This window comes from Homo sapiens, chromosome 12, assembly GCF_000001405.40.
Source record: "Homo sapiens chromosome 12, GRCh38.p14 Primary Assembly".
In the NCBI taxonomy this organism is placed as follows: domain Eukaryota; kingdom Metazoa; phylum Chordata; class Mammalia; order Primates; family Hominidae; genus Homo; species Homo sapiens.
This window is the reverse complement of record NC_000012.12, coordinates 106,732,677-106,745,661: the sequence shown is the minus strand read 5'-3', so window position 1 is coordinate 106,745,661 and position 12,985 is coordinate 106,732,677. Positions and strand designations below refer to the sequence as shown.

Below are 12,985 nucleotides of genomic sequence, written 5' to 3'. Positions count from 1 at the left end.
GATAAAGGAAAGGTTTTCATTTTAAAAATTAGTCCATTCCATCCCAGGGACTTTGCAAATAGCATATGAGAGGAGCTGCATTGATATGGAGTAGTGGGAGGAAGCAGAGTTGGTGGATCAGCGCTGTGCCAGTTATGTGACAGAGACTCGGTAAGGAATACCCTTGAAGAAATGTGGAAATGGTGTCCTATTTTAAATACATTGGCTTATTGTTAAAAGAACCCTTTGGTGAGCCCTTTCATAAATTGAAGAATCTTTTAGAATGCAAATAATGTCCTTTGTTGTAATGAGGTGACAAAGATTTATTCTAAGAGTATGAAAGGAGACACCATTATTGAGCATCTCTTACAGACCATGCACTGTGCTGAGTGCTTGTCACACACCCTTAAAAGAACGTTATCCCCCATTTATAGATGAGGAAACTGATGGTTAAATCCAAAAGAATTTAAGGGAGTGTATAGCAATATAAAAGATTCGAGACAATAAAATGGAAGTGGGAATGAAAGAAGAAAGAAAAGCAGAATTGGAGGCAAAAAATGCAATTCAGAATGAGGTGAAACATGCCGCCCAAATTCTTCCTATATGTGAACTTTAAACTTAGATATGAGTTTTCCAGGAGCCAGTGCTCCTGGAAGCCTGAATAGTTAGGAGCACTAAGACTGACGATCGCTCAGGAGTTTACTGTCCTCCAAATTCAGAGCAAACAGCAATATCTTTAACTATGAACTGTTCAACAATGTCCTCAACACCCTTACAATGGACTTCATCTTGATTCTAAGGACGGTTCCTTTTGTCAACACTAACTGCAGGCTAATGGCATCACACAAAAGTCCAGTTCAAGGAAACTTAGAATGTTAAATAACTTGCGCAAGGTCCCAGAGTGAGTGGGTGGTTCAGTCGGGCTGTGAACCCACACACTTTGTGCCACACACTTTCTACTCTCTACCGTTGTGTCTCTTTGCTCTGGGTTCTGGTTCTGCCAGGTACTAGCTATAAGATCTTGGGCAAGCCTGTTAAACTTTATGAGCTTCTGTTTCATCATCTTTAAAACAGGAGTAATAATATCTATCTTGCAGGACTGTTGTAATATATGTCAGAGAGTTTGGCACGTGGTAGGCTTTTAATGGTATGCAAACACTCTTCATTATGAATTCAGGTATTCTTACATGAGAACTTCTTAAAATAGATATTTCTGTATTTCTCATTTCAGACCCCAGGGAAGAAAGGCAAGTTTCTTGGGTGAGATTCTATTACCAGGGATGAAACATTTGAATAGCAACAGTAATTTAGCCAATTACGGCAAATTTCTAAACATGTTTTTCTATAAAATTACTAGTGTCCTTACTCACCAGCACAGCTGAAAGTACCCCTTCCTGCTTTGCACATCTATTCCATATTCTTCCCCCAAAAGATAATGACTTTAGCAGGCTACATGTTAGGCTTGATTTATAAGTACAAGAAAATGGGAAGGGAAGATCCCCAAAATGATCACAACTCAGATGACTGGATTATGCATAATTGCCCTCCTCTATGTTTTGAACTTCATGTGAAATTATATTACTGTTACAGTTTTTTAAAATGTCATGTTTATTAAAATGGGTTATCATTGAGTGGTGGGATTGAGGAGAGTTTTACAGTGTTTTCCCTTATTTTACTTATCTGTATTTTTCTGTAAAGAATGTGTATTGCCTCCGTAAAAAGAAAAACATTAATACATTAAACAAAGTTTAGAGTTGGAAATGGAAGCAGAAAGGGTGAGAAGTTTGGGAGAACAATGAACCAGCCACAGCAAGCAAGTAATTAACCCTTGAAGCCTCTGGGACCTCAGGCGAGCACAGCGAGGTCAATGGATATTGAAACGGGGCAGCCAAGGAAACCAAAGCATGTTTTTTTCCAAGCAGTGGGAAGAAGTCATGATAATAGCCATCACCTGAGAGAATGCAACAGCAGTTACTTTTGTGTGAGCCCCGGAGCACAGCAACTGTTCCTTATTCATCTCTGTATCCCCAACAGAGGGTGTGCCAAATAGTAGGTGTTCAGTAAATTTTCGTTCCATTGAATTTGTTGTTGAAGGAGTAAATGCTGCTAGAAATAGACGTTATCAAACAAAAAGCTAGTGGAACTCTTGGAAAAATGGGCTCCTGTGGTCTGGGGAACAAAACCCCTAAATGGACATGTGCCAGCAATCTAACACATCCACTCAGGCAGGCTTAAGCAGATTAACACCTACTGGCTTGGGTGAGAAACCCTTTTTGCCTGGGGAGCAGAAAAGAACACCCCTTGAATTCCCTTTCCTACCAGTGAGACCTCCAGTGAGAATTGCTGCTGCTGCTTTTCTAAGGAAGCTAATAAAAGAAAATCTGCGCAGCTTACAGTTTGTGCTTAGTTTTTAAGACAATTCTAATGCTTTTTGTCGGTAAAACAATAGCAAATCTTCCCTATTTGTTCAATTCCCATATTTTTCTCTTATTCCCCCCTCCCCTCCTCACATTTCTATTTATTTAAAGGTCTGAGGATAGCGGTGGAAGCCCCTGATAGTTGAGAATCCTATAAAGATCCCAAGAGGAGCAGTTGTTGGTCACCTTACAGTATTGAAACTGCTACAGGGGAACATTTTCTTCCCCTCCCATCCCCAACAAAACACTCTTCTTCCCCAAGGTTGCTTTGTTTTGGAAGGGGTTTTAAGCACAGGACAGGAAGGGTGCTCGGAATATAATAGACAATCAGTAATGATTTGTCAAATAAATGAATTAATGATCATCCAACATAAACCATATCTCATGCTCATTTCCTTTTATACATTGACCCATTCAGTCTTGACAACAACCTTTTGAGGTAAGTAGTATTACCTCCTTTTTCAGGTGAGAAAATTGAGGCCCAAGAGGTTAAATGACTTGCTCAGGTAAGTGGCAGAGTTGGGATTTCAATGCAGGTCTGCCCAACCCCAAACCCTTTCCATAGCAATGTTTCTTACAGTTGAATGTGTATTTGAATCACTGGAGATCTTGTTAAAAATGCAGATTCTGATTCAGTAGATTGGGAGTGAGGCCCTTATATCAAACTTCTAAATGATGACAATGTGGTTGGTCTGTGAACCACACTTTGAGTAACAAAGCTCTATAACATACTGCCTCCTGTCACACATTCTGTATGTTAAGGGCCATTAAAAATCAGAAGCTGGCGAGGCGCAGTGTCGCATGCCTATAATCCCAGCACTTTGGGAGGCTGAGGTGGGCTGATTTCTTGAGCCCAGGAGTTTGAGACCAGCCTAGGCAACATGGTAAAACCCCATTTCTACAGAAAATACAAAAGCTGGGTGTGGTGGTGTGTGCTTGTAGTCCCAGCTACTTGGGAAGCTGAGGCGGGAGGATCACTTGAGCTCAGGAGGTGGAGGCTGCAGTGAGCTGTGCTCACGCCACTACACTCCAGGCTAGGCAACAGAGTGAGACCCTGTTTCAAAAACAACAACAATAACAACAACAACAACAACAAAAACCTGAAGCTTTGAGATTCTGCTACAGACTTCTGAAAATTTAGAGTGCTTCCCAAGCTACCTGGCTGTACCCTTTTTTTTCAGATCTTGGACTGAATCCTTTAACCCAGGGGTCCCCAACCCCAGGGCCAGTACCGGACCGTGGCCTGTTAGGAACTGGGCCGCACAAGAGGTGAGTGGTGGGCAAGCAAGCATTACTGCCTGAGCTCTGCCTCCTATCAGATCAGAAGCAGCATTCGATTGTCATAGGAGTGTGAACCCTATGAACTGCACATGCAAGGGATCTAGGTTGCACACTCCTTATGAGAGTCTATGCCTGATGATCTGAGGTGGAACAGTTTTATCCTGAAACCATCCCCCCCACCTCTTCCCCAGTCTATAGAAAAATTGTCTTCCACAAAACCGGTCCCTGGTGCCATAAAGGTTGGAGACCACTGCTTTAACCTTTTCCTTAGGAGGATTCTGTGAACCATCACAGATATTGCTCAAGTTTTAACCTAACCTACGCCTTTTGTTTGTAAGCTCCTTTAAGTGTGTCAAGATTCTAGAGCTGCTCTGCCCTATCCTATAGCCACTCGTGGCTATTGAAATTTAAATGAATTAAAACTAAATACAATTTAAAATTCAGTTTCTTAATTCCACTAGCCACATTTGAAGTGCTTAATAGCCACAGGTGGCTAATGGCTACTGTTTTGGATAGCTAAGATAGAAAAAATTTCCATCTCATCACAGAAAGTTCTATTTGGACGATGTTGCTTGACAGGATTTGCTACTAAACAAGCATTTCCTGTAATCTTCATGATTGAGACAGGGAAAGAAGACTATATATTGATATTTACCTGTATCTCTAGGTATGTCATTGGCTATCATCTTTTTTTTTGTTTTTTGAGACAGAGTCTCACTCTGTCATGCAGGCTGGAGTGCCAGTGGCGTGATCTTGGCTCACTGCAACCTCCGTCATTGGCTATTATCTATCCTTAAGACAGCTGTGTCTAAAGAGACCTCCTATTGAAGCTAGAAACCTCATCTGTTTGAGTTACACTTTACCAATAGTTCCATGGTCAAAATCTGATTGACAGAACTGACCGGGGCAGCAAATGAATCAGTTCCTTCTTATGTTGCTGCATAATCTAGCCTCTGCCTATCTCTGCAACTTCCTCTCCTGCCACTCTCTTCCTTATTTATTATACACATTTGTCAGTTCCCACTATGCCAAGCTCTTTGCTGCCTGAGGCCTGTGCACATGCTTTTCCCCGTCGCATAGAAAGTTCTTTTTCCCTCCGCAACCTCTATGTAGCTGGCTCCTTGTAAAACTTCAGGTCTCAGATAAATGTCACCTTGTCAGGGAGGCATCTCTGACCACCAACTAAGATGCGTCCCCACTTTATACTTTTTCATAGCACACTATTATTTTCACACATAGCACTTTGACCATTTGAAATTACACCTTTACCTGGCAGTTTACTTCTGTATTGACTCTTACCACTAGAATGTAAGTACCATGCGGGAAGTGACTATTACTCTTTTTCACTTCTGTACTCCCAGGATTTGGTACAAATTAGACACGAAATATATATTTGTTGAATGAATGAACAAATGAATGAATGAGGGAGCCTAAAGTCCCAGCAGCAAGCTAAGATTTGATTTTGTGATCCAAAAAAAAAGAGTCAATTAAACAATCTATTTTCAATCCCAGCTTATTTTTCGTGATTCCATTCCTTTAAAGAAAAGGAAGTAGCAGGGACGAAAGAAGGAGGAATTCACTAGCACTGACAACTCTGAGGTCCTGTAAATGAGTCATCGCAGACTCTGTGGCAGGGCTGAAGTGTCCATCCTATCCCACTCGGTTTAGCTGCCCTCAGAATAACTAGGCTTTTGTTATTTGGAAAGACTAAGGGTCGGTTATCTTTGTTACATCCTCAACTGATGTAGAGAAAATGCAGCTGGGCAGGCCAGATGTTCTACAGTTAGGGCCATTTATGAGGAATTCGCTTTTATTTCATTAAGTATCCTAGTATCTCAATGATTTAATTTGCTGGTTTTGTGTTGCAGGGAACCCATGGTGGGAAGTTGAAAACATGAGTTTAATAGTTAACTTTTATTGTCATTGCTGAAGGAGGGAATACTTAAAATGACATCATAAACGAGGTTTTAGAACCCTTCGGTGGCCCGATGGGACAGAGTAGGAGCTTAACGTTTTGCTTTAGATGCCATTAAAGAATTGCAGCCCAATGTCATGTTAAATAGACTGATCAGTTTGGCACTGCCTGCCATGCTCCCAAGGAGGAAAGGAGCCAGTTTTCCTTAAAGAAAGTTAAGGTTTCTAAACTTTGCCAACTTTGCCAGGTCATGAGGGAGCGTAGCAAGCCTACAAATTTGGGGAGAAAATGGACAGACAGGCTAGATCTTACCTTGTGGAAATCTGTTGGAATGGAATCCTTTAACCAGCCTCTTATCATGACATTGCCGTAAACCCAACCAAAATTGGCCATATATCAGGTTTAATTTTAGGTACCTGAAATTTATTTCATTTCCCTTTCTTTCCCCATTTAAAAAAACAATTAATAAGTACAGTCAATAAAATATATTTAGAAATGTGGACATGGAACTAGACGTAGCTACAGATAAGCAGAGTGACTGTTTTCCTAGTGAGTCATAACTCATTATCTGTACTACCTTGTATTCCCTAGTCCTTGTATCGAAGGATGCCAAAAGGTTATGTGCAATGAATTAATTTTAGCTTTGTGCCACCGAGCACACATAATACTGTTCCTTTTTCACAGCTGAAAAATGGAGAAGTGTCCATCCAAAGTGGGACATTTATTTGTTAAAGAGTCCCAGGTACTTGACTGGCCTTGATTCTCAACAAGTCAAACCTGGTAATATTTACATTGTCTGATCAACGATATGCTGGAAACCCAAAAAAATAACTGGGTCACATAAAATTTCACATATTAATAAGATTTTAATAAATTTTTAAAGCTAACCATTGTTTCATTTAATTTTCCTCACCTTTTCTTTCTTTCTTTCTTTCTTTCTTTCTGGTTTTGGTCCTTTTTACGAAATTGATTTTTCTGTTTTTATTATAAACTACTTCAAAACTTTTTGGAAAGTAGATGGGATATATAAGTCAAGCGATAATTTTAAAATAGAAATAAAAATTAACTGGGCATGAAAACCATGTGCTGAGTTGACTTTTTTAAAAAAAGAAACATGGCAAATACATTTTATAAGATTTACATAATTGTTTTACAATTTACACTATTGTTCAATGAAAATTTAAGAAGCCTACCGTAATAGATTTCCTAATATTTAGGTTTCTAGCATGGGTAAATAGTTTGTGCTTTATAATATAATATGCCTATATAATCATACATGTTGTTAGGAAATTGGGTTTCTTTTCTCCAAGACCATGACCCACATTACATGCCCAGATCCAGTCTAATTTAGCAATGGAGTATTTCAAAAGTGGTACTTGAGAAAAATATCATACATAGTCTTATATAGGATGACATTTTTAATGCCCCATGGAGATATCTGAGAACAAAGCTGGAATGTGCCAAAATCTTCAAAGCTTAAAATCATCTGAAGAGAACCTGTTTCACATTTGTATTTCTAAGAAGCTACGTTTATGGCTCTTGAACACATTGCACAGAAATATCTGAAGCCATTTATGATATTCCTGTGGCCTTGTCTATCACACCTGCCATAACTTGAGGCCTCCACATTGCTTCAAAGAAAGCCAGGCACACTCACTAGCTGGATGAGAACTATGAGAAGATCCTAGACATCTTTCTTTCACACTCTTCCCTCCCATCCCTTATTCCCTTTGAGTCTGTCTCCTTATTTGAAATGTTGCTACACTTTGAGAAACATTTCATCCAAATGGTTTCTGCTTCATAATGCAGAACTGTTTTATTTGTATAATTTCCCTGTTTATTTCAGAAGTTAGGATATTATCACTAGCAGACTCGTGTGTGTCTCCCTGGTGATGACAGGGATATTTGGGCAGGATTATTTGGGTAAATGGCTCTTTCTTTAGGGAGAAAGGAGACTCAGGATGGTTGCCCAATAATCCCAATCTTTGAAGAACTCCTGAGAGCTGCATGAAGAGCTGCGAATGGTACTTAAATTCTCTTCCCTTTTAATGTTCAGTGAACAAAGTCATTCTTTTCACTACACGTACTTTTTCTGAGCCTTCTAAGCAGGAACTACAACAACCCACTATGGAAAGAAAATGGGAGGGAGGTGGGAGCCTGATCACATTCTTCCTCCTCAAAGCAGAAAACAAAATACAGTTTGAGGCGCATCTATATAAACAAATACGGCGATCTCAAATCTAAATTTCCACAGAAGAGGGCTCTCTAGCTGTGTACCCAAAGTGAAATCAAAGCTTGATCTAATGCCATTTATCAACAACCCAGCTTTTCAATACTTTGAAGAATCCAATTTCCTTAGCTGTCCCTGACAGAGGGCCACTGAGTTTATTGACTAGTACACAAGATAGCAAGTCCTTCCAGTTTCTTAAGCATCCGCTCAATCCTTCTCTAAGTAGGTGTAGTTCCATAGAGAGAGGAAACTTTGGGGAAGGAATTAATCAAAAGTCTCTGGGATATATACTTTTAAGTTTCCTAAAAATAACATGCTCTCTCTTGCCTCTACTTGGAATACCTTTTCTCCCCTCTCCTTCATGCTCCCATGATACTCTGACCCTTCTTCCAACCTAGCACTCCTCACACTATATTGTTACTGTCAGTTTGCTCATCAAGAACCTTAACCTCTAAACATAAACTCCCAGGGGGCAGGGACCACACTTCTATTGTTTGCTATTATATCACCACCTATCCGAAAGTGTTTAGCACATAGAAGCCACCTGAGAAATATATTTTGGAGAAATGGATAGATAGGTGAGTAAATGAGTAAATGCTCCTGAATGGAGCAATCTGACCCTATTTATTTGGTCCTCAAAAAAAAAAAAAAAAAAAAAAAAAAAAAAAAAAAAAAAACTTTAGTTCCGAGTCTATTCTGGAAACAGTCCTAAATAGAATTAGGATATAATTAAGTCCATGCTGTGAGGGTCTGGAGGAAGATTCTAACTTGGAGGGTGAGGGAAACATCAAAGGAGGTGAGTAGGATTTTATCAGGCAGAGGGTAGAAGGAGGCTAGCCCAAGAAGAAGGAACAGTGTGAGAAGTGATTAGGAGAAAGAGAGCTCTTTAAGGCTTTTAGAGTGAGGCAGTGGGTTCTTTGCCCCAGCACTTTGAGGAGGCACAGGCTTCATGAAAACGAGACTTAGTGAGTAGTGTGAGAGGACAGAGTAGAGTCTGGAGGCAGGGTACCAGCTTGAGAGTCACTGTGGATGTCCATGAGAGGTGGGGGTGGCCTGAACCAGAGGCACAAGTGGGATGGGAAGGAACAGATCAGTCTAGATTAGTATTAGAACAACTGGACTTGGGAAGTGTGATGGAGAATGCCCGCTGTTGCCCCCAAAGCTGTTCCCCTTTCCCTGCCTGGGTACATGCTATTCTACATTTCCCAGCCTGTCTTGCTGTTACATGAGGCCATGTGATTAAGTCCTCGCTGATGGAATATAAGTGGAAGTGACGTGTGCCACCTTCAGGCCAGGGCTTTTAAGAGAGTCGGTTTTCATCCTCCGTGCCCTTTTTCCATTTCTGCCAGCTGGTTGCAGACTTAACAAAGCCCTCAGGCAGTGGTCCTTAACCTAGTGAGCATCAAAATCACCTGGAAGTTTGCTGAACAAGATTCCTGGGCTCTGCTCCTAGAGTTTCTGATTCATTGGGTCTGCAGCAGGACCAGATAAGAGCATTTCTAATAAGTTTCCAAGAGATACTGATACTGCTGGTCTGTGGATCAGTTTGGGAAATACTGCCCTGGGCTATGTGGGAGCTTAATATTGAAGGAGCACGTGTTTCCAAATGACTGCATTACAGAGAGCCTCCTTTATGACTGAATACCCTAGCAGTACTGTCTTCAAGCATGAAATAGATTTCTGTTGTGTTAACTCCACCCGTGTTTGGATCTATTTGTCACACCAGCTTAGCCTACCCTAACTAATACAGGAGTTGAGGGAGAGGAAAGATTTGAAGCTGACTCCCGTATTTGTTGCCTGGGTAACAGGAGGGTAGTAGAGCAGGTTTGGATGGAAAGGTAATGAATTAATTATCATAGCCTGACCAAGCCCTCCACTCCATAAAGCCTGGAATCTTTGTGAGGTCTTCCCTGATACTTCCAGCCACATAGAATCTCTCCTTCCTTGGGAACCTCATAGCATTAGTTTATATCTCACTTATTGCATATACCACATTCTTCCTTCCATAACACTTGTCTCTGTACTTTTCTTTATCCTTGTGTTCCCTCTTGGTAGCAAGGCCTTGGCATATTAATCTATTTATTTCCCATAGCACCCAGCACAGGACTTGGCACATAAAATGTCCTCACGGGGGAAAAAAAAATACATGTGTGTACATATATACATGAATAAACATATATAGGATTCTAGATCCAAAGCTTTCAATGCAGTTTTTTTCTTTACACTTCAAAAGTATGGTTTCAGGTATTGAATCTAATGTTGCAAATGAGAAGTCTGCTATCAGTCTGGTTCTCTCTTCTTTGGAAGTTATATACATTTTCTTTGGGGAAACTAGTAAGATTTCTTTTATCTTTGATTTTCTTCATTGGGCTTAGAGGTAATTTTTTTTTCCATTTATTCAGCACATGTTCAATGAGAGCTTTTGGTCTAAAAAGCCTTGTCTTTATTCCATTTTATAAAACTCTCAGCTATTACATCTTCACTTTCTCTCTATTCTTTCTCTGGAACACTTATTAAATGAATATTAGAATTTCTGAGTTTATCAGTCCTTTTTCTTAACATCACTTTTATACTTACTATTTCTTTTTGCCACATTATCAGAGAACTCCTCAGCTCAGTCTTTCGGTTTACTGATCTCTTTCAGTTGAATCTAATTTTCTAATATTCAACCTATCTATTGAAATTATTATTTCAACAATTATATATTTCCTTTTGAAGATCTTGACTCTCATGGGTATGATTTCTTTTTCTTCTTTCTTTCCTTTCTTTCTTCTTCTTCTTTTTTTTTTTTTTTTAAACAGGCTATCACCCAGGCTGGAGTGCAGTGGTCTGATCATAGCTCACTGCAGCCTCGAACTCCTACGATCAAATGATCCTCCCATCTCAGCCTCCACCACAGGTGCACACCACCATGCCCAGCTAACTTTTTTAAAAAGCTTGTGTAGAGATGGGGGTCTCAATATATTGGCCAGAGTGGTCTCGAACTCTTGGCTTCAAAACATCCTTCCACCTTGGCCTCCCAAAGTGTTGGGATTACAGGGTGAGTCACCATGCCTGGCTGATTTCTTTTTAGTTCTCATCTTAACAATACTTTTCAGGTTGTCCTATTAACTTCATTCCTTTGGATATAGACTCTCTCTGTTCTTAAGTTTGTTGTTCCTCCTTCATGGAATTGGGCTTCCACGGATGCTTGGGTGACTTTTAATTGTGGTAATATATATCCATATTAACTTTTTTTTTTTTTGAGATGGAGTCTTGCTCTGATGCCCAGGCTGGAGTGCAGTGGAGCGATCTTGGCTCACTGCAACCTCCACCTCCTGGGTTCAAGCGAGTCTCCTGCCTCAGCCTCCTTAGTAGCTGGGATTACAGGCATGTGCTACCATGCCCGGCTAATTTTTGTATTTTTAGTAGAGATGGGGTTTCACCATGTTGGCCAGGCTGGTCTCAAACTCCTGACCTCAAGTGATCCACCCACCTCGGCCTCCCAAAGTGCTGGGATTACAGGCATGAGCCACCACGCCCAGTATAAACCATTTTCAAGTGTACAGTTCAATGGCATTAAGTACATTCACCATGTTGTGCAACCATCACCGCCATCCATCTCCAGAGCTTTTTCATCATCCTATACTGAACCTCTGTACCTATTAAACACTAACTCCTCATTTCCCTTCCCTCCAGCCCCTGACATTCACCATTCCATTCACTGTGTCTGTGACTTTGACTATTCTAGGTACCTCATATAAATGGAATCATATATTTGTCCTTCTGTGTCTGGCTTCTTTCATTAAGCATACTATCTTCAAGGTTCATCAGAGTTGTAGCATGAGTCAGAATTTCATTGCTTTCCAAGGTTCAATAGTATTCCATTTATGTATATACCACATTTTCTTTATCCATCATCCATCGATAAGACGCTTCAGTGGTTTCTGCCTTTTGGCTATTGTGAGAAATGCTGTTAGGAACACTGATGTACAAACATCTGTTTGGATCTCTGCCTTCTTTTGGGTGTGTATCCAAGCTTGGGTAATTCTTGGTTGTAAATTAATCTTATGAGACTCCTGTGCATATCTTGGACTGTGTGGGCCTCCACACAGTCTCACGGTAGCATCAGCCTCATGCTATGTGCCCGGCAGCTCTAGCTTAGCTGAAGACCCACTCACATCACAGCCCTTGCCTCCTTATGGTTGCCATAGCTTAGTGTAAAGTTTCCTGTCTGCCTCCCTTTCCAGAGAAAAAGAAAGCAGCTCAGTTTTTGATTCAGAGAGTTCCCTTTCTTGTTTTCAAAATGTTTGTGTATTTATGTTATATAGCATTATAATCAATTCAGTGGCTTAGTTTTGGGATTTTATCATATGCTTAATTTGCCAACTTGAAAACAGCAGCATACAGAATGTGTACCAATGAATAAATGAATACCTGTACGTCATTCACAAATCCAGGAAGATACCCAGGTTTTGGCATTATCTTTTGGAGATTGTGGGAGAAGAATGTTTTTCCAGAAAGCCCTGTTTTTCTTTTTTTGAGACAAGGTCTCACTGTATCACTAAGGCTAGAATGCAGTGGTGCGATCGTAGCTCCTGGGCTCAAGCAATTCTCCCACCTCAGCCTCCCAAGTAGCTGGGACTACAGGTGTGAGCCAAGATGTCTGGCTTTTTGTGTGTGTGGAAATGAAGTCTCACTATGTTGCCCAGGCTGGCAGAAAGCCCTTTCTTCAAACATTAACTACCCAAAGTTTTTGAAGGACTTTCCATTACCTGTAGTGCTGAGGCCAGTGTACTCAGGGGAAGGATTGCTAACAGGGGAAGAGGGAGGTGGCACTTCCACAGATGTGGCAGATTTTGCTGGAGAAAACGATGGCACTGGTGAAGGGGTTGGTGCGGCAGCCTCTGTCAAGATGATCTCTTCTCGGACTTCTGCTGTGGATAGAGATAGGGTAAGTTTTTAAAACCAAATGTAAAGGCAAGTGTCTCTAAAAGACTTTAAAAAGTGAAATATTATTCTAATCTGTGTGATGTCACTCTCTTGTCAAACTCTTCGATGGTTTCCCATCACCATCATGACACTCAAGGCAATTTCTGTATATAAATATGCCCACTTTATTTAATTTGTTTATTTATTTATTTATTTATTTACTTATTTTGAGATGGAGTCTTGCTCTGTCAC

At 40.5% G+C, this 12,985-nt stretch overlaps 1 protein-coding gene and 1 long non-coding RNA gene across 4 annotated transcripts in view; one reads left to right on the top strand and one right to left on the bottom strand.

The window, feature by feature from the left end:
- Positions 1 to 12,985, top strand: part of LOC100287944 (uncharacterized) — a 278,422-nt gene that overhangs the window by 29,170 nt on the left and 236,267 nt on the right. The window lies entirely within an intron of this gene.
- RFX4 (regulatory factor X4) overlaps positions 1 to 12,985 on the bottom strand; it is a 179,800-nt gene that overhangs the window by 17,142 nt on the left and 149,673 nt on the right. For all 3 annotated transcript variants that reach the window (NM_213594.3, NM_001206691.2, NM_032491.6), the window contains one exon: positions 12,577 to 12,738. In NM_213594.3, coding sequence (NP_998759.1) covers positions 12,577 to 12,738 — 162 coding nt within the window. The remainder of the gene's footprint in view (positions 1 to 12,576; positions 12,739 to 12,985) is intronic.